This window comes from Homo sapiens, chromosome 6 (genome assembly GCF_000001405.40).
Source record: "Homo sapiens chromosome 6, GRCh38.p14 Primary Assembly".
In the NCBI taxonomy this organism is placed as follows: Eukaryota; Metazoa; Chordata; class Mammalia; order Primates; family Hominidae; genus Homo; species Homo sapiens.
Window position 1 is genome coordinate 28925532 of NC_000006.12, and position 25996 is coordinate 28951527.

Consider the following 25996-nt stretch of genomic DNA (forward strand, 5'->3'; position numbering starts at 1 on the left):
CAGTCTGGTCTTGGTTTGAGATTGGGTCAACAATGAAATTTGTAAGAATTAAAGGATATGTCTATTCTCATTTACTCCAAAAAGGACTAATAAGCATTGCAATACAGTGCAGAAATATGAGAGATATGGATAGGTAGATAAAGCTGCCCTTCATCTTCTCCTTTACTTGGGGGATGCAAGCCTTGAGTTTGGCTTTGTTTTTCAGAATTGATTGTGTTTATCTTACCAACCCTTTATTACCTCTGGAGGCAGGTGACCTGGGGGTAAAGAAAGGTAGAACAGGCAGGGTGTGGTGGCTCATGCCTGTAATCCCATCACTTTGGGAGGCTGAGGCGGGTGGATCGCTTAAGCCCAGGAGTTCAAGACCAGCCTGACCAACATGGTGAAACCCCGTCTCTACCAAAAATACAAAAACTCGATGGGCACAGTGGTGCACACCTGTAATCCCAACTACTCTGGAGACTGAGGCTGGAGAATCACTTGAGCCTGGGAGACAGAGGTTGCAGGGAGCCGAGATCAGGCCACTGCACTCCAGCCTGGGCAACAGAGCAAGACTCCGTTTCAAAAAAGAAAACAAAAGGAAAAAATTTTAAAAAGGTAGAACAAAATAGATGAGTTGGGTAGAACAAGGTGGGAGTGGGGGAAAGGGAATATTTACATTAGCAATCTCTAACAGTCCCCTTCCTTTTTTTTAATTTAAAAAAGTTACACCTGTCTTTTTCTCAATAAATTTTGTAAGAAAAAAGAAATTTTAAGAGATGGGGTCTTACTATGTTGCCTAGGCTAGTCAAGAACTCCTGGGCTCACGTGATCGTGACCCTCCCATCTCAGCCACCCAAAGTGAGGGGATTACAGGCAGAAGCCACCATGCCCAGCCCCTCTTCCTTGAGTGTTTACTGTCTTCCCTTCATCATCCAGATTTCATGGAATTTTGATTTGCTTAATTTACCTGTTCATGTTAATTTCTATTACTAATCCTAACCTATATTATTGCACCAGTGTGTCAGTTTACAAGTATTTTTCAAAGAATCGGTAGCCGTGCAGCCTTCCCATTAATTTCTCTATTTGTACTTTTTCACTGATTCAAATACCACCTCAAGGAATAGAATCATCCTTAAAAATTCTTAAAGAAGAAAATGCTTTTCATTCTGTCGCTTCTTACTCAGACATCTTCAAAGTTTTGTGGGTTTTTTGTTGTTGTTGTTTATTTGTTTGTGTTTGCCTCTGGGACATTGTCCAAATTCTTTAGTATAAAGGCCTAATAAAATTCTTATTAATAGGCCCGGTAGCTCACGCCTGTAATCCCAGCACTTCCGGAGGCTGAGGTGGGCGGATCCCGAGGTCAGGAGATCATGACCAGCCTGGCCAACACAGTGAAACCCCGTCTCTACTAAAAATACAAAAATTAGCCGGGCATGGTGGCGCACACCTGTAGTCCCAGCTACTCAGGAGGCTGAGGCAGGAGAATCGCTTGAACCTGGGAGGCGGAGGTTGCGGTGAGCCGAGATCGCGCCACTGCACTCCAGCCTGGGCGACAGAGCGAGACTCCGTCTCAAAAAAAGAGTATTAATAAAATATACTTTTTTTTTTTTTGAGACAGAGTCTCGCTCTGTCGCCCAGGCTGGAGTGCAGTGGCGCGATCTCGGCTCACCGCAAGCTCCGCCTCCCAGGTTCACGCCATTCTCCTGCCTCAGCCTCCTGAGTAGCTGGGACTACAGGCACCCGCCACCATGCCCGGCTAATTTTTTGTATTTTTTTTAGTAGAGACAGGGTTTCACCGTGTTAGCCAGGATGGTCTCAATTCCCTGACATCGTGATCCGCCCTCCTCGGGCTCCCAAAGTGCTGGGATTACAGGCGTGAGCCACCGCGCCCGGCCTAAAATATACTGTTTTAGGGACAGGCACAGTGGCTCACGCCTATAAACCCACTCTGGGAGGCTGAGGCGGGCGGATGACCTGAGGTCAGGAGTTTGAGACTAGCCTGGCCAACATGGGAAGCCCCGTCCCTACTAAAAATACAAAAATTATCCACGCATGGTGTCGCATGCCTATAACCTCAGCTACTCGGGAGGCTGAGGCAGGAGAATCGCTTGAACCTGGGAGGCAGAGGTTGCAGTGAGCCAAGATTGCGCTATTGCACTCCAGCCTGGGCGACAGGAGCGAGACTCTGTCTCAAAAAATAAATAAAATAAAATATACCGTTTTAAAATGAATTTCCTCCTGCCTCCTCTAAACCTCCCTGCCCTAAGGGAACGAGTGACTTTTACTAGTATTGGCCAAATCCAAGGGACACTTTTCAGTCTTCATCTTAACATCTCGAAGGCATTTTATGTGGAGTCCTAATCAGGGAAAAGGAGTCAGGCTGGTGGGACCAGGGGAAAGCAAAGATAAAGCAAACAAGTGATAGGTCTGCTTTTTTTATGGCCCAGGGCACATGGCCCTCCTGTACATAACTCACAAACTTCCTGCTTACCATCAAACGCCTCGATTTATCAAGCACCTTGGCTGACAGAAGAATGCGGGTTAAGCTTCCTGCTACCTTAGCGTTATCAATCAGTCCAAGTTCCATTGTATAAAATCCCTAGCAAGTCTTTGTTTCTTTGTAGTCAGCTTCTCTTCTGTTGATACTGCCTGTTGTCTCCCTGGCAACATATTTTTCTACTTTCTCTAATAAATCTGCCTTTCTTTACCTACAATGGTCTTGGTAAATCTTTTCCCCCTACACCACAGGCCCAGTTAGTCGTCACTTACCTGTGACATTTTACACTGTTGATCCCTCCCTCCTTGGATCATTCTTCTTCCAAGCAGCAAACTGAGTGGGACCTGATGAGGCCTAAAGTATTTCTGCTTCTTCTATCTCCTTCTCTCTTATCTGTCTTTTACCAACTGATACTAACCTTAGTCTGGAAAAATAAAAAATTATCATAATAAATACAAGAATACAGTACTTAAGAAGCCAACGTATTAGATGAGACAGAATGGGAAATGGAGAAAAAGACAAAATATCAATAAGAATTTAACATTAATATAAGGTCCGGGCGCGGTGGCTTATGCAGGGTAATCCCAGCACTTCGGGAGGCCACGGCTTGAGTTTAGGAGTTTGAGACCAGCCTGGGCAACATGGTGAAACCCAGTCTTTACCAAAAATACAAAAAATTAGCTGGGTGTTGCGGCGTGCACCTGTGGTCCCAGCTACTGGGGAGGCTAAGGTGGGAGGATCCCTTGATCCCAGGAGGCAGAGGTTGCAGTGAGCCGAGATTGCACCACTGCACTCCAGCCTGGGTGACAGAGCCAGACCCCATTTCCAAAAAAAAAAAAAAAAAAAAAAAAAAGAATTTAGTACAAGATACAGGAGAAATTGCAGGTTGGTGCTATACATTCAATAAATGATTGTGGAATAACTGGCTAGCTACTTGGGAGAAAAAAGATCTCATCTCACTTCTTATACTGAACTATATTATTGATCAATGAAATTTTTTTAAGAAAATTAATCCATAAAAATTCCAGGAAAAAGAAAACTGATTGATTTTTTTTAAGGCACTTGTCATCTGGAAGATCTTTCTAAACATGACCCCACAGAAGTCACAAATGGATAAATTTGGTTATACAGAATTCAAAATTAGATGTCTTCTTATAAAAAAATTTTCTAAACAGCTGAATGATAAAGGAAAATTGGGGAAAGATGTTTTTAGCAAATTAAACAAAGGATGAATTTCCTTGAGACAAAATATTTGCACAAATAAAAGCAAAAAAAGAGAGAAGAAAAATGAGCAAAGGTCATGAACAGATGGTACAGAGAAAAAGAACAAATGGTCAATAAACATGTGAAAAGAGGTGATGTTAATTTTAATTTATGAGATTAGCAAAGATTTAAAACTTTGACAGTATTCAGTATTAATGAGAATGTGAGGAATTCCAGTACACTGTGAGAATGTAAATTGGGAGAACACCATTGAAAGCAATTTGACAATTGGGCTGGGCGCGGTGGCTCACGCCTGTAATCCCAACACTTTTGGGAGCTGAGGCGGGTGGCTCACCTGAGGTCAGGAGTTCGAGGCCAGCCTGACCAACACGGAGAAACTCTGTCTCTATTAAAAATACAAAATTAGCTGGGCGTGTTGGCGCATGCCTGTAATCCCAGCTACTCAGGAGGCTGAGGCAGGAGAATAGCTTGAACCCGGGAGGCAGATGTTGCGGTGAGCCGAGGTCACGCCATTGCACTCCATCCTGGGTGACAAGAGCAAAACTCCATCTCGATTAAAAAAAAAAAAAAGTAAAAGAAAACAATTTGACAATCACTAAAAAAATTTAAATGCACTCACTCGTAGAACCTTCTACTCTGCTTCTCTCCCATCTGGACAGAGATGTTTGATTATACAAGGATTGCCATTACAGCATTGTTTGGATTTGTAAAATACTGGGACCAACGTCAATATGCTCCAACAGGGGATAAGTTAATGAAAATATTATGCAGGTGTACAATGAAATGCTATGCAGTTTCCAAAAACAAAAACAAAGAAGAAGGAGGAGGAGGAAGAAGAAGAGGAAGAGGAGGAGGAGGAGGAGGAAGAAGAAGAAGAAGAAGGAGGAAGAAGAAGAAGAAGAAGAGGAAGAAGAAGGAGAAGAAGAAAAAGAAGAAATAATCTAATAGGGAAAGGTGTCTGAGATTTATTTACTCATTAATTTATTCAACAAATGTTTGTTGAGTGTCAACTATGTGCCAGTCTTCTAGATTCCAGGACACTGTGTGGAACAAAACAGACAAGGTTGCTGGGGTCATGGAATTACTTTCTAGAGGGAAAGTTGGATGATAAGCAAACCAAGCAATAAACACATGGTATGAAACATGCCATAAAGTGGAATGAATCAGAATATGGAAGATGAAGAGTGATGGTTATTACTTTATATTGGGTCATCAGGGTGGAATCTCTCTGATGAGGTAGCCAAACAGCTGCTGCAGTTTAGAGTCTCAAATTTGCATGTCACTGGGCATTTATCTCAGAGAAATAAAAATGTTTGTTCACCCAAGAATCTGCACAAAACATTGTTCGTAATAGCCAAGCCTAGAAATAATTCAAATGTCCTCGAATGGTGAAGAGTTAAACAGTGGCACATCCATATTATGAAATACTACCCAGAGATAAAAATGAATGAACTACTGAGATAGGCAGCAACTTGGATAGATCTCAAGGAAATTATGCTGAGTGAGAAAAGTCAATCTCAGGTTGTGATTTGTATGATTCCATTAATAACATTTATTTATTTATTTATTTATTTATTTATTTATTTATTTATTTTTGGGAAAGAGTCCCACTGTGTTACTCAGGCTGGAGTGCAGTGGGACAATCTCGGCTCACTGCAGCCTCTGCCTTCCGGGTTCAAGTGATTCTCCTGTGTCAGCCTCCGGAGTAGCTAGGATTAAGGCATGTACCACCATGCCCAGCTATTTTTTTTTTTTTGTATTTTTAGTAAACACGGGTTTTCACCATATTGGCCAGGCTAGTCTCCAACTCTTGACCTCAAATGATCCACCTACCTCGACTTCCCAAAGTGCTGGAATTACAGGAGTGAGCCGCTGTGGCCAGCCCACAACATTCTCGAAATGATAAAATTATAGAGATAGAGAGCAGATGAGTAGTTGCTAGGCATTAGGGAGAGAGAAGGGAAGGAGGTGTCTGTGGCTATAAAAGGGTACCCTGAGGGATCCTTGTGATGGAACAGTTTTGTATCTTGACTGTAATGTTGTTCCTATGTGATATTTACACATGCAATAAAATTGTATAGAACTAAACACACACAAACAGATGAGTGTATGTAAAAATGGTGAAATCTGAGTAAGATTGGTGGATTTTATCAAAAATAATTTCCTGGTGTGATATTGTACTATATTTATGCAAGATGTTACCATTGGGAGAAACTGAGTGAAGGGTATGCTGGATCTTTATTTTTATTTTATTTTATTCTTTTGGAGACAGAGTCTTGCTCTGTCGCCCAGGCTGGAGTGCAGTGGCATGATCTTGGCTCACTGTAACCTCCGCCTCCTGGGTTCAAGCAATTCTCATGCCTCAGCCTCCCAAGTAGCTGGGATTACAGGCATGTGCCACCATGGCTAGGTAATTTTTGTATTTTTAGTAGAGACAGGGTTTTGCCATGTTGGTCAGGCTGATCTTGAACTCCTGGCCTCAAGCAATCTTCCCTCCTCTGCCTCCCAAAGTGCAAGGCTTATAGGAGCGAGCCACTGCACCCAGCCACTGAATCTTAATTACATCCTATAACTGTATGTGAATCTACAATTATGTCAAAATAAATTTTAAAAAATTTCTGCAGTCACAGCATCAATGACTTGTCTTTCCCAGCCAGCAAAGCCCTGTGTTTTGCTCTTATTGATTGGACTAATCCCTGTGGACAGAGAAATTCATGTGCCAGTTGGCTTAGGTTTGGTTTTACTACCTATTCCTGAACCAATTACTATGGCAAGGGGACTGAGATAATGCTCACTGGTCTATGCATCAAGACCCACTGAAAAATGTAATTGTCATTAGTCATCTAAATATAATTTATTTTTGAATTGGTTATGTGCTTCCCAACATTTAGCTATATTCTATTTCCTGGGGATAAAATCTTTGAAGACAGTGGGAGGAAAAGCTAATCTGACCCCTTCTTTCAAACAGCAAGGGGTTGAGGATTTCCTTGATTTTAACACAGGCATTTTGAATATGAGCAGACCATGCCTGGTAAACACACTAGACAAGATTCCTGCCCTTATGGAGCTGACAGGCCACTGGGGGCTGGATGGAGGCCGAGATGGTAGCTGTCTCCAAGATAGTCACTATCTTAGAGACCTCTCATATGCACATGACATTGGATCACCAAGATATGTAAGCTGGGCATCATGGCACATGCCTGTAGTTCCAGCTACTTGGGAGGCTAAGGTGGGAGGATTGCCTGAGCCCAGGAGTTTGAGGCTGCAGTGAGCTATGATCATGCCACTGCACTCCAACCTGGGCGACAGAGTGAGATCCTCATCTTAAAAAAAAAAAAGGCCGGGTGCGGTGGCTCGCACCTGTAATCCCAGCACTTTGGGAAGCCAAAGCAGGCAGATCACCTGAGGTCAGGAGTTCAAAACTAGCCTAAGCAACATGGAGAAACCCTGTCTCTACTAAAAATACAAAATTAGCTGGGCATGGTGGCGCATGCCTGTAATCCCAGTTACTTGGGAGGCTGAGGCAGGAGAATCACTTGAACCTGGGAGGTAGAGGTTGCAGTGAGCCAAGATCACACCATTGCACTCCAGCCTGGGCAACAAGAGTGAAACTCTGTCTCAAAAAACAAACAAACAAACAACAACAACAACAGAAAACAGGGTGCAGCCCACTCCTCCAGCCCCTTGAATCTGGTGGGCTGGCCTATGAGTACTGTGACTAACACTGTATGGCAGAAGTGATTCTATACCAGTGCCAGGCCAGGGCTGTAAGAGGGCTGACAGCCCCTGTCTTGTGTCTCTGAGTCCTGAGACACCATAGATATGTCTTTATTAGTCTCCTCAGGCTGGCATACAAAATACTAGATGGCTTAAAAAACGGGAATTTATTTGCTCACATTTTATTTTCTGGATACTGGAAGTCCAAGATCAAAGTCTGCAGGGTTGGTTTCTCCTGAGGTCTCTCTCCTTGGCTCGCAGGCAGCCGCCTTCTGACTATGTCCTCACATGACCTTTTCTCTGTGTGCATGCACCTCTGATGTCTCTTCTTCTTCTTATAAGGACACCAGTATTATCAGCTTAGGGCCTCACTCTTATGACATCATTTATCCTTAATTGTCATCCCTATAAAGATCCTATCTCCAGGCAGTCGCGGTGGCTCACGCCTGTAATTCCAGCAATTTGGGAGGCCGAGGCAGGTGTATCACTTGGGGCTGGGAGTTCAAGACCAGCCTGGCCAATATGGCAAAAGCCTGTCTCTACTAAAAATACAAAAATCAGCTGGGCATGGTGGTGCACACCTGTAATCCCAGCTACTCAGGAGGCTGAGACAGGAGAATCACTTGAACTCAGGAGGCAGAGGTTGCAGTGAGCCAAGATTGAGGCACTGCACTCCAGCCTGGGCAGCAGAGCAAAACTCTATCAAAAAAAAAAAATTATCTTCAAATATAGTCACATTGGGGGTTAAAATTCCAAAACATGAGTTGGGAGCTGTGTGTATGTGGTGGGCAGAGTGGACACAACTCAGTCCATAGTGATGTCCACCTACTCTACTACGGGACTCCATAAGGGGGGAGTGAGCTCATTGAGGCCATCCTTCCAGCCATTCCCTGAGAAAAGCATGAGGATTTTCAGTGAAGAGCAGCCCAACTACCAAATGGATACATTCTGAGTTGCCAGTTAATGCCAGGTGTTACAGAAAAATCATCCCAGTGAGCCCTACCTGTTGGGGCAGTTTGTTATGCAGTATGAAATAATCAGAATAAGGAGTTGCATTCAGTTATTAATCAAATCAATATGTGGTTACTAATTGTGACAACTTCTATGATGGAAGAGACAGGATGCTATGAGAAAGAATAACACAGTGGGTGGGAATGGCATCACAAACTGCAAGGGAGAAATAATTGAAGGACCTAGAGATGTTGGGCCTGAAGAAGATTTCAATGCTTTTGTGAGCTCTGGAACCATTTCTCTTCCCTTTCTGGGCTAAACTCCTTGAATAAGCGGATCCCTCCGCTTTCCTTGCAGGTGACCACTCCCTCCAGATCAGCCTCTCATAAAACTTTTCTCGTCTTCCCAGGTCACAACAATTTTTCCCTTTTTAACATTGTATTAGGCTGTGCCGGCACTGCTGTAAAGAAATACCTGAGGGCCGGGTGCAGTGGCTCACACCTGTAATCCCAGTACTTTGGGAGGCTGAGGCTTGCGGATCACTTGAGGTCAGGAGTTTGAGACCAGCCTGGCCAACATAGTGAAACGCTGTCTCTACTAAAAATATAAAAAAATTAGCTGTGTGTGGTGGCGTGTGCCTGTAATCCTAGCTACTTGGGAAGCTGAGGCAGGAGAATCGCTTGAACCTGGGAGGTGGAAGTTGCCGTGAGCCAAGATTGTGTCACTGTACTCCAGCCTTGGCAACACGGAGAGAGACTCCATCTCAAAACAAAACAAAACAAAAAAAGAGAAATACCTGAGACTGGGTAATTTATAAGAAAAGAGTTTTAATTGGCTCATGATTCTGCAGGCTGTACAGGAAGCACAGTGGCAGCTGCTTCTGCAGAGGCCTTGGGAAACTTCCGGGTTTTTTGTTTTGTTTTGTTTTTTTTCAGACGGAGTTTCTCTCTTGTTGCCCAGGCTGGAGTGCAATAGTGCTGTCTTGGCTCACTGCAAGCTCCGCCTCCCGGGTTCAAGCAGTTCTCCTGTCTCAGCCTCCAAGTAGCTGGGATTACAGGCGTGCACCACCGCGCTTGTCCAATTTTGTATATTTTTAGTAGAGACTGGTTTCACCATGTTGATCAGGCTGGTCTTGAACTCCTGACCTCAAGTGATCCACCTGCCTCGGCCTCCCAAAGTGCTGGGATTACAGGTGTGAGCCACTGCACCTGGCCTAGGAAACTTCGAATCATGGCGGAAAACAAAGGGGGAGCAGGCATATCGCCTAGCGAGAATGGAGCAAGGAGGCCCCACCGGACCCCACCTCCAATATTGGGGATTACATCTCAATGTGAGACAAATATCCAATTTGAGTGGGGACAAATATCCAAACTATATCAAACATTTTTAGAGTTTATGCTGTAGAGCATTTAATTGACATTAAATGATAAACTGTTTCATATTGTTAATTTATTGAGGTAAAATATACATAAAGGGAACAAGCCTTCAGTGTATAAGCTAATGAATTGTTACATGTGTGTACCCACCATCCAGATCAAGAGGAAAAATATTTTCAGCATCCAGGAAGGCTGTCTCATGTCTCTTTCCATCAGTATCCACTCCCAGAGGTTACTTAGAAAAAATCACTATTCCAAATTTCTAGAAGCATTGATTAATTCTGCCTGTTCTTGAACTTCATATGAAGAGACTCCTATCATGAGCACTTATTGGGGTTTTAAATTGTTGTCTGTTATGAATAAAGCTGCCCTAAACGTTCTGGTGGTATATGTCTGTTCATGGACAAATGCCCTCATTTCTAGGAGTGGAATTGCTAGTAGGCATATGTTTAGTTTTTTAGATAATGCCAAAAAATGTTCCATAGTGAATGTGCTAATTAACACTTCTAGCAGCAATGCATGAGAATTCTAGTTGCCGCACATATTACACCAACACTTGGTACAGCATATGTGTTTTAAAATATTTTAGCTGTTCAGGTGGATTTGTAGTGGTATCTCATTGTGGTTTTAATTTATATTTCCCTGCTAATTAATGATACTGAGCACATTTTCAAATTTTCTTTTGCTGGAGTGCAGTTATGCAATCATGACCCACTGCAGCCTCAACTTCCCAGGCTCACAGGATCCTCCTACCTCAGCCTCCTGAATAGCTCAGACTACAGGCACACGCCACCATGCCTGGCTAATTTTTTTTTTTTTTTTTTGTAGAGATGGTGGGGCAGGGGGAGTCTTACTATGTTGCCCAGGCTGGTCTCGAACTCCTGGGCTCAAGTAATCCTCCCACCTCCTGAAGTGCTGGTGGCATTACAGCGTGAGCCACTGTCCCTGGCCTCATATGTGTACTATTTGAATGTAGTCTTTAGGGAAGTTCCTGATCAAGTCTTTTGTCATTAAAAAAAAATTATTTGTCTTTTTCTTGTTGATTTACAAGAGTGCTTTATATATTTAGGATGAGTCCTTTCTCAGGTATGTATTTTGCAAATGTTTCCTGCAATTTGTGGCTTCCATTTTTCATTTTCTTTTTCTTTTTTTTTTTTCGGGAGACAGAGTCTCACTCTGTTGCCAGGCTGGAGGGCAGTGGCACAATCTCGACTCACTGCAACCTCCGCCTCCCGGGTTCAAGTGATCCTCCTGCCTCAGGCTCCTGAGTAGCTGGGACTACAGGTGTGCGCCACCACGCTCAGCTAATTTTTGTATTTTTAGTAGAGACAGGGTTTCACTGTGTTGGCCAGGATGGTCTTGATCTCTTGACCTTGTGATCTGCCTCAGCCTCCCAAAGTGCTGGGATTACAGGCGTGAGCCACCACGCCCGGCCTCCATTTTTCATTTTCTTAATGATGTTTTTTGATGAATAGAAGTTTCCAGTTTTGATGAATTTTATTTCATCGACTTTATTGATTTATTTTTAAAATTTTTACACTTATTTATTTATTTAATAGACATGGGTTCTCACTGTGTTGCCCAGGCTAGAGTGCAGTGACTGTTCACAGGGGCTATCATTGTGCACTACGACCTCAATTTCCTGGGCTCAAGCGATCCTCCCACCTCAAGCCTCCTGAGTAGCTGGAACTACAGGTGGGTGCCTGTTTAACTTTTTTTTTTTTTCATTTTGGTTACTCTTTCCTGTTTTTGAAATCTTTGCGTACCTTACATTCATTAACATATCCTCTTTCTAGAAGCTTTACTTTCCCTGTCATACTTAGGTGTATGGTCCATTATGAATTCATTTTTGTGTTTGGTGTGAGGCAAAGGTCTAGATTTAGTTTTTTTCCTAATTGGTCCAGCACCTTTTATTGAAAAGTTATATCATAAATTTGTAAATGCATTTCTGTCTATTCACCTCGTTTTAACCACTATCTCCAAAAAGCAGAAAATAGCTGCACTAATGGAAAACCAGTTCACCAGATTTACTTATTCTGTTTTTTTTTTAGACGGAGTCTCCCTCTGCCGTCCAGGCTGGAGTGCAATGGCATGATCTCGGCTTACTGCAACCTCCTGCCTCAGCCTCCTGAGTAGCTGGGACTACAGGTGTGCACCACCATGTCTGGCTATTTTTTTTTTTTTTAAGACAGTGTCTGGCTCTGTCGCCCAGGCTGGAGTGCAATGGCGTGATCTCGGCTCATTGCAACCTCCACCTCCCCGGTCCAAGCAATACTCTTTCCTCAGCCTCCTGAGTAGCTGGGACTACGGGCAGCCACCACCACGCCACCACGACCAGCTGATTTTTATATTTTTAATAGAGACGGGGTTTGACCATGTTGGCCAGGATGGTCTCGCTCTCTTGCCCTCGTGATCCCCGCACCTTGGCCTCCCAAAGTGCTGGGATTACAGGCATGAGCCACCGCACGCGGCCTATTTTTTGTATTTTTAGTAGAGATGGAGTTTCACCATGTTGGCCAGGGTGGTCTTAAACTCCTGACCTCAAGTGATCCGCCCACCTCAGCCTCCCAAAGTGCTGGGATTACAAGTGTGAGCCACCACACAAGGCCTACTTGTTCTTTTTAACTAATTATAACATTTACAGCAACTCATATGTTGAAGCGGTTTTAACAGCTTTAAAAGGTTTCTGTGGGATTATCATTGACCTGTTTTTACTTTGTCTTAGTGATAGCTTTGTAGGAAAGATTAATTTTTCCTTAGCCCAGCAGAGAGAGGTGAGACTGATGGACATAAAAAGAAAATACTCAAGAAAATATATTAATCAATAGTGTATTTTATTATTAGAATACATCCATAAGAATCCTTTATATTTATGCCTACACTCTTCATGAATCTCTTCTTGTGGACATATTTATTTACTTATACATTTCTTAATTCAACATATATTTATTGAATACATTTTTGAATATGGCAATATACATTCATATTTGTTATTATTATTATTATTACGAGATGGAGTTTCACTCTGTTGCCCAGGCTGGAGTGCAGTGGCGCCATCTCAGCTCACTGCAACCTCTGCCTCACAGGTTCAAGGGATTCTCGCGCCTCAGCTTGGGAATACAGGGGTCCGCCACCACGCCCATCTATTTTTTTGTATTTTTAATAGAGACAGGGTTTCACCATGTTGGCCAGGGTGGTCTTGAACTCCTGACCTCAGGCAATCCGCCTGCCTCGGCGTCCCAAAGTGCTGGGATTATAGGCATGAGCCACCGTGCCCAGCCTCATATGTATAATTTTTAGTTAAATTAATAAATTAATATTTATGGTTTTCATCATTATGACTTTGTAATATTTTTCACAGCTGAGCTCCATGGTATACCATAATTACCTTCTTTGACAACCTTTTGTTCTTCCTGGGATTAATAATTGCCTCCTGTTCTTTGCTTACTTTTCTAAATATTTATTCCTAATTCAAAACCAGCTTTCTGACACTATTTTCTCGTCAAATGCATGAGGCAGTATGTCAGTTCCATTTTCCCCCATTGGAAACAACCCTCGTTTAGCCCTCTTTTTTCTATTCCACCGTAGACTGATTGCCTTCTAGCCTGGTAGCTCAGCAGTTGCCCCGGAGTTTTTTCCTTTACCTTTCTTCTGTGTTAGGTCCCCAGTCACCGGATTTCATATTTCCTTTTTCTTAGTTTAATTCCCTAGTTAGTGGACAATTCTCCAGAAGCTTTCTGAGAAAAGGTACTTGGGAGATAATGTTCTGCAAATGTCCATTCACATTTGATTGATAGTTTGGCTGGGTTCAGAAATCTAGTTGTGGAAACTATTTTCCTTTATTGAAATGATTTAGAAGGCATTGCCTCATTGTCTTTCAGCTTTTGGTGTTGGTGCTGCTGTGGAGAAAAAAAGATGACATTCTAATTCATAATCCTTTCTGTGCAATCTTTTAGTTTTGTTTTCCTTCTGGAAACATTTAGGATATTCACTTTATTCATCTGATATTTCACAATGACAAGCTTTATTGTGGGGCTTTGCCACACCCTATGCAGGGTAGTTGGTGGGCCTTTTAAATCTGGAGACTTAAGGTCTTTGGTTCTGAAAAATAATCTTATATTACATCTTTATCTCCTTTATTCCACTTTCTCCTCTTTTCCTAGAATCCCTGTTAGTTTGTTGGCATATCTTCTATTATACACCATTTTATTTTCTTATCAATTCTTTGCTATTTTCCATCATTCACCCCAAACTTTCCAGATTTCTACAACCTTATTTTGAAATTTTAGGCCAGGCGCAGTGGCTCACAACTGTAATCCCAGCACTTTGGGAGGCTGAGGCGGGCGGATCACCTGAGGTTGGGAGTTCGAGACCAGTCAGACCAACATGGAGAAACCCTGTCTTAACTAAAAACATAAAATTAGCCGGGCGTGGTGGCGCATGCCTGTAATCCCAGCTACTCTGGAGGCAGAAGAATCTCTTGAACCTGGAAGGCAGAGGTTGTGGTGAGCCGAGATTGCATCATTGCACTCCAGCCTGGGCAACAAGCGCCAAACCCCGTCTCAAGAAAAAAAAAAAAGAAATTTTTAAAAATCCAGCCATCATAATATTATTAATAATTTTAAGAACTCCCCTCCTTTTTGTTTCATGAGTGCAGTATCTTCTCTTACTTTCCCGAGGATTAATTATAATTTTTAAAAAATCCAACTTCCTGCATTGTATTTGTTTCCTCTTAGGTTCTTCCTGCCCCCTTCTGTTTGTATTCGTCCTTGTCTTATTGTAGAAATATTTTCACAACCACCTGATTATCCTTGGTTGTCGTACATATTTTAAGTAAGGCACTAAACACCTGATTCTGGAAGCTCTGTGGACCTGCTCCAAGCCTGTAGACTGCAGAGTCTTTGGGGATTCTATGGAGACCCAGCCATTTCTTTGGGAGATCCTCAAATACCAGTGTTTGTCGTTGTTTTAATTTTTATTTTTTCCTTGTAAATTGACTTGGATATCTCATCTGTCTTTCTTTATCTCTGGAAAACTTTATCCCAGTTTCCCTTGACATACTCCTTCAACCTCCTGGGAGAGGTAGGGGGAGGGGAGATGAGCCTGTTTGACTAGTTCTGGGAATGTGGTGAGGGAAGAGATCTGGGGATTTCGGCTCAGTGCTGACACTTCCTTCATGCTACTCTGGTTTAGCACCCCTGCACTTCACCCTCTTTCAACTCCTGACCAAGTCAACTCCTGTTACTCACATCGACAGTCATTTTTCATGTTCAAGACCCCTGAACCGCTCTCATCCCCCACTCTCCGCTAACTCTCCTGCTTCGCTTCAGGTCTACATTGCCTCGCTCATTTCTTCCCTGCTGAGCTCTTTGATTAGTTTGCTAAGCAGCATCTCGGGAACAGCCCCCGTGCTATGTGTTCTTTCTTGTCATGGATATGTGTTTTTTCTTGTCATGCTATGTGTTCTTTCTTGTTCAAGGCAGAGTCGCGGCTGGGTTGTTAGGATGCTCGCGCCCCTGTACCCGGGGCGTGCAGGGAAGTGTAAGAAGGGGGCGAAGGGCGAGAAACGCTGAATTCTAGCCTGAATTGGTAGGAGAGCCTCGCAAGCTGAGTCACGGTTCCTGATTCCATTTAAATAGAACGTTTTGTTCACTTGTAGGAATTTCCTTTTCCATTTCTTTCATTAAATCGCGAACGTAGTAATGACTTAACGCTGGTTACGCATTCATTACAATCGAAGATTATATTAATTTGCGATGGTAAGTGTCCCAGGTGTCAGGATGGCCGAGTGGTCTAAGGCGCCAGACTCAAGCTTGGCTTCCTCGTGTTGAGGATTCTGGTCTCCAATGGAGGCGTGGGTTCGAATCCCACTTCTGACACAACTATCTTATTCTCCTTTTACTCTACTTTCTCAGCCATTTCTGTGTTTTCATTCTTTCTACCTCAACTTTTTTTATTCTAACTAAAATGATACACTCTCAATGAGGTCTGCCCCCTTGCTTTTCAGTCTTGTTCGCTGTTTAGTAGTGAATCACGTTTTGCCCCGCTTTGGTCAGTTCGTTAAAAGGCGCATTCATTTACCACATGAGCACTCACCCAGAGGCGTACTGGGAGGAAACTAGACTAGGTAGGAATAGAAAGACATGTATACAGACTCCATCATTACATACTGGCCCTGAGCTCATAGGTTATTGGGACCGCAGATTACATGTTTTTCCTCACGGCCAGAAACCATCAAAAATAAAAGTGATGAAACTGAAATTGAAAGCAGCAAGGTTCACGCTCAAGGTTATCGGAAACAAGGCAAAAGGAGAGAAATGAAAGGTTCCACCGAGATTTGAACTCGGATCGCTGGATTCAGAGTCCAGAGTGCTAACCATTACACCATGGAACCCTACTTAACAAAAAATGGATACTCGATCCACCTGGGGTCTCTCTTGTCTTCTACTTACTAATTGATTTAAAGTAATTTTGCAGGGGCAGTTTTTTTGTTTTGGATGGCCAAACGCAGGGATGGGAGGGGTAGGGCTCACACACTGTTTCCACCGCGCCTTTCTCCCAGATTTCTTTCCATCCTTCGGGGCAGGGCAGTATACTGATCTGGGAATATGGTTATTCCTGGAGATTTTTATTTTCTTTCGTTTCCAGCCCACGAAAAGGTGAATTGAATTTTAGTCTCACGGTTTGAAAGGGAGAAAAGAGAGAAAAGAAAAAATATACTATCTACTTTCTACAGTCTTATTTATTCATTGTACGATACCTACAGATGCCTCTAGAACAACCTCCGAGTATCTTGGCACTGCCCCTCAGTTGTAACCATGGGCTTAAATTTTTAAAATCTGTCTCCCGCATTCCTCCAAAATGCCTTAAGTGCAGGGCTGAGTCTCAGTAGTCTTTGATAGCCCACGGTCTGCTACTTTGTAGAAGCTCAACCAATGCTTGTTGCATGAATGCATAAATGAAAGGATGAGTGAATGAATGAATGAATGAATGAATGAATACTCAGTGGGACAGCCCAGCTTAGACTTTTGGGAGACTTTAGACTTCTTTTTTGCCTTCACTTGCTAGGCTAAATTTTACAAGTTCAAAAGGGAATAATTATTTCTCCTCCTCCTCCTATCTTCTTTTGCCTTTCCAGGTCCCAGCTCCCAGGTGGACATCTTAGCGTCCAGATGACCCAACATATAGGTGTCCTTTAGTATGGATGACCAAACTAGGATGTTATAGTGCTGGATGTAGTAATTCATTTTTTCAAATCTTAACTTTATTAAGATAACATGGTTATTTATCTAGTAATTGTGAGAACAACATATAACAAATAGACCACATATATACGTAGCGTGTCTGGAAGAAATACTCAGATATAAATTACTACTTTAGTCAATCTTAATATTAATTATTTGTCAACTATGCTTAATGTGCCTCTCTAGTCTCTCAAGACTAAATTGCTAAGGAACCCTGGAATCATTTGCTGGCATTCATCCTTTCAAGCAAGGTGCCTGTTACAAAATATCTGCTCAATTAGTATGTATTGGATACATCTTTTGGAAGGTGAGGAAGGAAGCAGTGAAATTAGAAGACTTCTGCCTAGGCGACTGTAAAGTGCTCCTAAGCATCTACCCACCTCCCTGCACACAAAAACTCTCCATTCTATCTCCTCGAGTCTCCTAGCCTTAAAAGATGGTCTAAACTACCCCAGATCCAGGTAAATAACGGATCAAGTCCTTCTTCCCTAAAACAGGTGTTATTCTTTCTATTCTATGAGCCTCCACCTTATTTCTTAAAAAAAAAAAAGAAAAAAATGTTTACTGTTTAAGAAGATAACAGAATCTCAAAAGCTAACTCTTCAACTGTGTTCAACTAAGGACCTTAAACTGCTCTCTGAGGATAGGTGAAGCGGGAAAGGCTCTAGGTGTCTGGTGACTGTTTCTTTTGTTGGTTCGTTTGTTTTTTCAGCCTTAGCACATTTATCCCTTGGAGAAGACAATGGAAAATAGGGCAGATGAGCGTGCGTGGCTTATTTATTCTTGAGTCTGGAGTTAAGAAGGTTGTACTTTTTCCTTAGGATTGCCCTTGGTTGGTTCACAAATTTCGCAAAGTGAATGAAAACACATGAAGGCCACTGAAGGGAATAACTAGGGGACGAGATGTCTGAGCCCCTAAATCGAGAAACATTTGGGCACCGTTTGTGGGACTGTACATATGGGTGTTATCTGTGGCCCCTAGGAAAACAGAAGAGGAACCTGTCTCACTTAGGAAGCTGTGAGAACTGCCCACACAAGGCTTGAAAATGGAACTTTACTGGGTCAGAATGACGAGGGGGAAAAAAAAAATACCTCACACTGGCAGCGGTGGGATTCGAACCCACGCCCCCGAAGAGACTGGAGCCTTAATCCAGCGCCTTAGACCGCTCGGCCACGCTACCACCCACAGGGTGCGTCGCCGCTTTCAGTTTCACCCAAGTGACTGTCGCCCCTTTCCAGTCCTTTCATTCCCATTCCCACATCACCATAAGCCCTTCCCTCAGGCCCCTTCTTCAGCATTCCTTGCTTCTCAGCATAGCCCGAGAACCCCCGATCCCTGACACTTTGCTTCTTCTCAGCTCCCAGATGGATCCTGGACAGGATGCTGCAGGTGGTGCAGGAGGGGAATCCTGCCCCATTTATCATCAACACAGTAAAAAGGGGTCGAAGAGACCGAGAGCGCCAGAGGACGCCATGGGCTCCACATCCACTTGGATTCCAGGGAGTAAGCCTCTCGACTTCAGGAGTAAGCAAGGCCAACCGTTTGGTTTGAGCCTGTTGCTTCTAAGAAAAGCGAGGAAAAATCCTGAGACCTCCTCCCCTCGCCCTTCATCCACTTCAGGGGACCGAGTGTCTCCACGGAACTTCACAAGGGAGGAAAAGAGTGAACTCATTATTATTTGTCTTGTCTTCGTTTCAGAGGCGGTACATCTACGAAAGCCCTAATCATAGAGGGAAAGACTCCTCGTTCCTGGCCCAGAAATGAGATGAGAAATCCAGGGCCCCGTACAGGAAGGCCTTTCGCAAAGTCCAGACTCAATTGCCTTCGCAGCCCTTAAAGTTTCCTTAGGAAGGTCTGTGGGAGAACGAGGTTGGTTTAGGAATTGGCCCCTGCCTTGTACTACGTAGTTTTGTCATCCAAAGTGTTTTAGAAGTGAATTGAATCATAGTTACGCCTTATTTTGAAACACTGTAATTCAGAGAACGTAAAACCTTATTAAAATGCCTCATAATCATCTTGGTAGAGCCGTTGGTTAAGCGGGAGAGACAGTTGCCTCCTTAGCGCAGTAGGCAGCGCGTCAGTCTCATAATCTGAAGGTCCTGAGTTCGAACCTCAGAGGGGGCAAGGCGTCTGTTTTGCCATTTTACTTCTTCTTGATCCAAAATGAGTAAGACAACAAAGGAAGTTGACAAAACGTTGTTCTTTCTCTGCTTTCTCTATAGAAAAGTGTACAATATGTCTGGTAAGGGAAAAAAAAATCTAAGGACATTGCTTTGATGGAACAGAACGGGTAATTGCTGTTTAATAGAACCATGTTCAGTTACAAAACAGTGATTTTCACTAAGAATTAAATTCTCCAAAATTCTCATCTCCCCTCCCGCCCTGCATACCAATTGGAGATAGAGCTGGTAGCATTTTCAAATGTTTTTCAGATATGCTTGGCAATTGTCTTTGTTTTAACAACACCAGAGTCAAGAAACTTGCCAGTTTTAGAGTGCTGAGATAAGAAAAAGTGGGTGGAGGGTTGTACTAGGGGTGTGGAAGGTATAGAATCTAATTATCAATTACTGACTTGGTTATCTTTTACCATTCTTCTGGAATGGCTTACCACCAGGTTGCCACCAATAACATTCCATATGAAAAAAGAAAGGAAACAAAAAACTGACAAAAAACTCCCCCCTCAGTCTCATTGCATTGGACCTTTTCTCTTGCTTCCAGTCCTGTTGACTGGATCTAAATCATCCAAACTACCAGATGCAGGAAGGGGTAAAAAGAGAAACAAGAAGTGAAGAAGATAGGCTGATATTTACAGTCAAGATGAGCCCCTGACTCAAATAATAATGAGCAAGACTGATCATTAATGTCCTGCTCTTGAGTCCTACTTTGTTCCAAGCTGTGTTCCTATTAATCCATTCCCTCTCAGCTTTAAAATCACCCTTATATACTTTGTTTTGTGACATTGGGGCTGGGCGCCTGCAAATGATATTTCCCAAACTCCTTTGCCCATTGGCTTCCTCTTGTGTTCTGTCAATAAGAGGAACCAGAAAGAGACTAGAAAGCAAGAGGAGAGAAGCAGGGGCTGCTTTCTAAATTTTGTTCTTCCTGTCAGGTCACTCCAACAATGGCAGTTGAATCCCATCTCTATTTGTTCTCTTCATGCATTCCAGAATGTCTCACTGTCCATTACATAAGTAAGTAGTAGTCCAGCTGCAGCGCGTCCTCTTTAGCACTCCAGGATGCCTTTCCTCAGTGGTCTCAACCTCTTCCTTTTTGTTCTTCCAGCCCTACAAGGTGGTAGCTACTTCCCAGTAGTTATCACCTCTGAGTTACCATGGTGTGCCCAGTTGAAATACCTAGTCTTATTCCTTTTTTTTTGAGACAGAGTCTTGTTCTGTCACCCAGGCTGGAGTGCAGTGGCACAATCTCAGCTCGCTGCAACCTCTGCCTCCCGGGTTCAAGCGATTCTCCTGCTTCAGCGTCCCAGGTAGCTGGAATTACAGGCGCCCGCCACGACGTCCAGCTAATTTTTGTATTTTTACCAGAGACGGGGTTTCACCATGTTGGCCAGGCTGGTCTTGAACTCCTGACCTCAAGTGATCTGCCCGCTTCGGCCTCCCAAAGCGCTGGGATTACAGATGTGAGCCACCGTGCCCAGCCTTATTTCTTAACTAGACCCTGAACCACACATAGGGGGTGCAGGGATAGCACTCCACACAACAGAAAAAGCTTCTGCTCTCATGGAGTTTACATTTTAGTGGGGAATGATAAAGAATAAATTCAACCAGATATATAAAATGTGAAGTAGTGATACATGCCATGAAGGAAAAGAGCAAGAGAATGGAGAACAAAGGGGAGGGGATTGCTTTATAATAAAGGGTGACCAAGGAGGCCTTCCTGATAAGGAGGCATCTGAACAGAGACTTGAAGGAAGTGAGTGAGTGAGCTGTGAGGCTATCAGGGAGAAGAGAATTTCAGGCCAAGGGAACAGTAATTACAAAAGGCTTGGCAGGAATGCCATTGGCATGTTCAAGGAACGAAGGAGGAGACTAGTGCAGCTGTAGGTCAGTAAACAAGGGAGAACTTGATAGGAGATGAGGGGGTTAGATACACATAGACCCTACAGGATGCACATAGATCATGCAGGGTCTCAGAGGTCATGATCATGTTCAGAGAGGGAATTCGCTGCATAGGGGAGAGAAAAGACAACAGTGATTTAAGTTGTGGAGGTCAGCCAGACCTTGAGAATATTCTGATTCATGAGTCTGAGATAGAATCTGTGAATCTTTTTTTTTTTTTTGAGATGGAGTTTCACTCTTGTTGCCCAGGCTAGAGTGCAATGGCACGATCTCGGCTCACGGCAACCTCTACCTCCTGGTTCAAGCGATTCTCCTGCCTCAGCCTCTGGAGTAGCTGGGATTACAGGCATGCGCCACCACGCCCGGCTAATTTTGTGTTTTTAGTAGAGATGTGGTTTCTCCATGTTGGTCAGGCTGGTCTCGATCTCCTGGCCTCAGATGATCCATGCACCTGGGTCTCCCAAAGTGCTGGGATTACAGGTGTGAGCCACTGCAACTGGCCTGAATCTGAGTTTTTAACAGTGACTCCAGGAGATTTGAATGCCATCAGTGTGGCAACATTTTGGAAGCCCCAGTCAAGGACTTACTCGGCCTATATTCATTTATCCTATGTTGACCGTCTCTGGAGAGATCATTTCCTCCCAAAATTCTCCTCATTTTTGTTTAGTCATCCAGGGCTTGCTTACTGGTTAAAACTAGGAGCACTTGCCTCATCAAGAGCAGAATAAATGTTCTATGCTTCCCAGAGAACTCTCAAAAGCTACAAGGTGCCATTTCCTATTCTGCTTTATTTCTAATTTTTCTTTTTTCTTTCTTTCTTTTTTTTTTTTTTTGAGATGGAGTCTTGCTCTGTCACCCAGGCTGGAGTGTAGTGGTGTGATCTCGGCTCACTGCAACCTCTGCCTCCCAGGTTCAAGTGATTATTTTGCCTCAGACCCTTGAGGTAGCTGGGACTACAGTCATGCACCACCACACCTGGCTCATTTTTGTGTTTTTAGTAGAGATGCGGTTTCATCATGTTTGCCAGGCTGGTCTGGAACTCCCGACCACAATTGATTTGCCCACCTCTGCCTCCCAAAATGTTGGGATTACAGGTGGGAGCCACTGGCCTCGCCCTGTTTTGCTTTATTTCTGCCTTTCCCTGTAAAGAGCTTTTCTTGGTAAATAAGCAGCTGAGACATCTTGACACCTCCTGCCCTCCAGGTTCCCAGGGGCAGTCTGGGCCCAAGTTTTCTTTCTTCTAGCTGTTCCCCAGTTTCTCTGCATCATTCCTCCCCACTGCCATGTCTCGATGGCCTTCTTCTGCACAATGGCCTAATTTATGTTTTTGCATCACCTCTTCCTCCATTCTGACTCATTCTTTACATAAAGCCAGTGTACTCTTAAAAGTAATCTCATCATGTCATTTCTTCCTGCTTAGAATTCCCAGTGGCTTCACATTGCTGCTAGGGTGCAGTCAGCTCTCTGCACTACTAGCCATAACCTCTGAGCCTGTGAGTCACTGGTCTGTCCCTGCCTTCCTGTCCACCTCAGACCCCACCTTCATGAACACTCTCTTGAGCTCTCTGTACACAAGCTGCTCAGGCCTTCTCTCAGGTGTCTGGAAGTGTTCTGCTCTTTAATCTCCCTGGAATGCTGGAATCACATTTTTGTCCAACTAGGCCTTTAGTTTTCAGTTTAAACATCACTTCCTGGGAGAAGTCTTCTCTAATCCCCTGGAAGAGGTCATCTCCCTTTATAATCCATGCTCTTGAAGATAGAGGGCAGGGTGTGATTTACAGTGTGCGATTTACAGTGTGCATTATTTTGTCTCACCTTACTTTTCTCTATGTTCCCTTTATCTTGATTTAAATTAACATTTTTCACTTTATCTTACAGTATAGTTGTGTAAATAACCTCGAATCTGTTTTTCAATAGTAGCATAAATAAATGCACGATCAGAAATGTACCACATGACAACCATTGTGCTAGACCTAGCCTTTGAGGGATTTCTGCTGTGAGATTAAAGTGGTCAAGAGATTAACAAACTTGTCTAAAGTGGCACAAGCAAAATGGTTAAAATACAGTGTTCTAAATGATCCACTTTACAATAAGAATAATTGTGATAACACCTAATTTTCATGGAAATGTCACCAAGCGTTTGCTTACATTATCTCGTTTAATTTGCAAAGTAAGGTCATGAGATTTTGCTTGTTTTTCCTCAACATTTTGTAACCTGAACGTTTTCTCAAGAGCATGTGTTACAGTGACTGTTTAAACAGTGTAATTTGTCGTTTAACGGCTGCTTTTCACTTGTAAAATATGAACGCCCCAAGGGCTGAGGTAGTGTGTCCCGAATTGGTGGGTTCTTGATCTCACTGACTTCAAGAATGAAGCCACGGGCCCTCGCGGTGAGTGTTACAGCTCTTAACGTGACGTGTCTGGAGTTTGTTCCTTCTGATGTTCCCATGTGTTAGGAGTATTCTTCTTTCTGGTGGGTTCGTGGTCTCGCTAACTCAGGAGTGAAACTGCAAACCTTCGGAGAGAGTATTACAGCTCTTAAGACAGCACGTCTGGAATTGTTCGCTCTTCCTGCTGGGCTTGCGCTTTCGCTGACTTCAGGAAAAAAGCTGCAGACCTTCACGGTGAGTCTTACAGCTCATAAAAGCAATGTGGACCCAAACAGTAACCAGTCGCAAAATTTATTGCAAAGAGCAAAAAAAAAAACAACACTCTACAATATGGAAGAAGAGCCGAGCGGGTTGTGGATGCTGGCTCCGGCAGCCTGCTTTTATTCTCTTAGCTGGCCCCACCCACATCCTGCTGATTGGTAGAGCCGAGTGGCCTGTTTTGACAGGGTGCTGATTGGTGCATTTACAATCCCTGAGCTAGATACAAAGGTTCTCCACGTCCCCACCAGATTAGTTAGATACAGAGTTTTGACACACAGGTTCTCCACGGCCCCACCAGAGCCGCTAGATACAGTGTCGATTGGTGCACTCACAAACCCTGAGCTAGACACAGGGTGCTGATTGGTGTGTTTACAAACCTTGGGCTAGATACAGAGTGCCGATATGTGTATTTACAATCCCTGAGCTAGACATAAAGATTCTCCACGTCCCCACCAGACTCAGGATCCCAGCTGGCTTCACCCAGTGGATCCCGCACCGGGGTTGCAGGTGGAGTTGCCTGCCAACCCCACGCCATGCGCTCGCACTCCTCATCCCTTGGGTGGTCGATGGGACTGGGTGCCGTGGAGCAGGGGGCGGCGCTCGTCGGGGAGGCTCGGGCTGCACAGGAACCCACGGAGGCGGGGGAAGGCTCAGGCATGGCAGGCTGCAGTCCCGAAGCCTGCCCCGCGGGAAGGCAACTAAGGCCCGGCGAGAAATCGAGCGCAGCGCCGGTGGGCTGGCACCTCTGGGGGATCCAGTACACCCTCTGCAGTCGCTGGCCCGGGTGCTAAGTCCCTTATTGCCCGGGGCCGGCAGGGCCTGCCGGCTGCTCCGAGTGCGAGGCCCGCCAAGCCCACGCCCACCCGGAACTCCAGCTGGCCCGCAAGCGCCGCATGCAGCCCCGGTTCCCGCTCGCGCCTCTCTCTCCACACCTCCCTGCAAGCTGAGGGAGTGGGCTCCGGCCTTGGCCAGCCCAGAAAGGGGCTCCCACAGTGCAGTGGTGGGCTGAAGGGCTCCTCAAGTGCCGCCAAAGTAGGAGCCCAGGCAGAGGAGGCGCCCAGAGCAAGCGAGGGCTGTGAGGACTGCCAGCACGCTGTCACCTCTCAGTAGTACTTCTCCACTGCAGGAAACCCGGGGCAAAGCTGAGAGCCTTGCTCAAAATAAGTTCTCAAAACCTATTTTTTTTTTTTCTGGAGTCTCACTCTGTCACCAGGTTGAAGTGCAGAGGCAAGATCTCGGCTCCCTGCAACCTTCGCCTCCCGGGTTGAAGCGATTCCCTTGCCTCAGCCTCCCGAGTAGCTGGGACTACAGGCGTGCGCCACCACGCCCGGCTAATTTTTTTGTATTTTAGTAGAGACGAGGTTTCACCATGTTGGCCAGGATGGTCTAGATTTCCTGACCTTGTGATCGCCCGCCTCGGCCTCCCAAAGTGCTGAGATTACAGGCGTGAGCCACCGCGCCCGTGTGCCAGGTGTTCTTAAGGTCGCAGGGAAGACTGGAGCATAACCTTTGAAGACTAAAGACAAGACAAACCCGGCGATTACGTCTGTAGTTATACATTGCTTTTACAAGTAATTGTTTGGAGTACATTACACAAAGATGGGAGTTAATTTTTTCCATGAGTTGGGGACAAAAATAACTGTGAGCCATATTCAAAGTGGGCAAAAGCATAGATGGGAATAAAGAAAAGGAACATGGATAGGATTTAAGTTGGACGATATCAAGTTTCTGCACCTTTTTACTCACTAGAATGTGCAGGAAGAAGGCTTTTGCAGGGAGCCCGGATAGCTCAGTCGGTAGAGCATCAGACTTTTAATCTGAGGGTCCAGGGTTCAAGTCCCTGTTCGGGCGGGAGTGGTGGCTTTTAGTACCTGATTCTGGTATCATGTTTGAAAAAGCCAAAAAGGATACTATCGTTTTATAGGGACAGATTTCATATACTGCAAAAATTCACCAAACCCTGTAGAACCCCAAATTTTAAACCACGAATAGGCGAGTAACTCTGATGCCAAATAAAAGTAGTAAGGTGAATACATGGGCCCTCTACAGTGAGATAGCCCCAGATTTTCTGAAGAAAACTAACATTTAAGGACAACCTTAGAATACGAAGTATTTAATATTTTATGATTCCTGTTACTCTGCTTACAGGTGCCAAAGTAATCTTCTGTTGTTACTTGCTTTCCAGTGCAGAGTTTATTTTACGTAGGAGGGAATATACTGATCAATTATCAAGAAAGTTATAATATGTTCATATTCTGGCTTGGCATATTTCTGGCA

At 44.1% G+C, this 25996-nt stretch overlaps 1 long non-coding RNA gene and 5 other non-coding genes across 6 annotated transcripts, besides 4 other annotated features; 4 read left to right on the forward strand and 2 right to left on the reverse strand.

Moving 5' to 3' along the window:
• Positions 14727-15296: an enhancer, noted in NCBI's record as "NANOG-H3K27ac hESC enhancer chr6:28908035-28908604 (GRCh37/hg19 assembly coordinates)". NCBI's record gives its function as "activates a minimal SCP1, AML or CMV promoter by ChIP-STARR-seq in naive H9 embryonic stem cells {active_cell/tissue: H9 hESC(naive)}" and the evidence as "EXISTENCE:reporter gene assay evidence [ECO:0000049][PMID:30033119]".
• On the forward strand, positions 15522-15626 carry TRL-CAA1-2 (tRNA-Leu (anticodon CAA) 1-2). The gene is made up of 2 exons: positions 15522-15559; positions 15582-15626. It is a non-coding gene; the product is annotated as a tRNA-Leu (tRNA).
• Positions 15868-16437: an enhancer, noted in NCBI's record as "H3K27ac hESC enhancer chr6:28909176-28909745 (GRCh37/hg19 assembly coordinates)". NCBI's record gives its function as "activates a minimal SCP1, AML or CMV promoter by ChIP-STARR-seq in naive H9 embryonic stem cells {active_cell/tissue: H9 hESC(naive)}" and the evidence as "EXISTENCE:reporter gene assay evidence [ECO:0000049][PMID:30033119]".
• Positions 16070-16141, reverse strand: TRQ-CTG1-3 (tRNA-Gln (anticodon CTG) 1-3). The gene has a single exon. It is a non-coding gene; the product is annotated as a tRNA-Gln (tRNA).
• On the reverse strand, positions 18091-18172 carry TRL-AAG2-2 (tRNA-Leu (anticodon AAG) 2-2). Its single transcript has one exon. It is a non-coding gene; the product is annotated as a tRNA-Leu (tRNA).
• Positions 18173-18252: 80 nt separating this feature from the next.
• Positions 18253-19007, forward strand: LINC01556 (long intergenic non-protein coding RNA 1556). The gene has a single exon (NR_103538.1). It is a non-coding gene; the product is annotated as a long intergenic non-protein coding RNA 1556 (long non-coding RNA).
• Positions 19008-19043: 36 nt separating this feature from the next.
• TRM-CAT3-1 (tRNA-Met (anticodon CAT) 3-1) lies at positions 19044-19116 on the forward strand. The gene has a single exon. It is a non-coding gene; the product is annotated as a tRNA-Met (tRNA).
• Positions 24387-24946: an enhancer, noted in NCBI's record as "H3K27ac-H3K4me1 hESC enhancer chr6:28917695-28918254 (GRCh37/hg19 assembly coordinates)". NCBI's record gives its function as "activates a minimal SCP1, AML or CMV promoter by ChIP-STARR-seq in naive H9 embryonic stem cells {active_cell/tissue: H9 hESC(naive)}" and the evidence as "EXISTENCE:reporter gene assay evidence [ECO:0000049][PMID:30033119]".
• Positions 25361-25655: an enhancer, noted in NCBI's record as "tiled region #4538; HepG2 Activating non-DNase unmatched - State 8:EnhW". NCBI's record gives its function as "activates a minimal TATA promoter and a strong SV40 promoter by Sharpr-MPRA in HepG2 cells {active_cell/tissue: HepG2}" and the evidence as "EXISTENCE:reporter gene assay evidence [ECO:0000049][PMID:27701403]".
• Positions 25498-25570, forward strand: TRK-TTT3-3 (tRNA-Lys (anticodon TTT) 3-3). Its single transcript has one exon. It is a non-coding gene; the product is annotated as a tRNA-Lys (tRNA).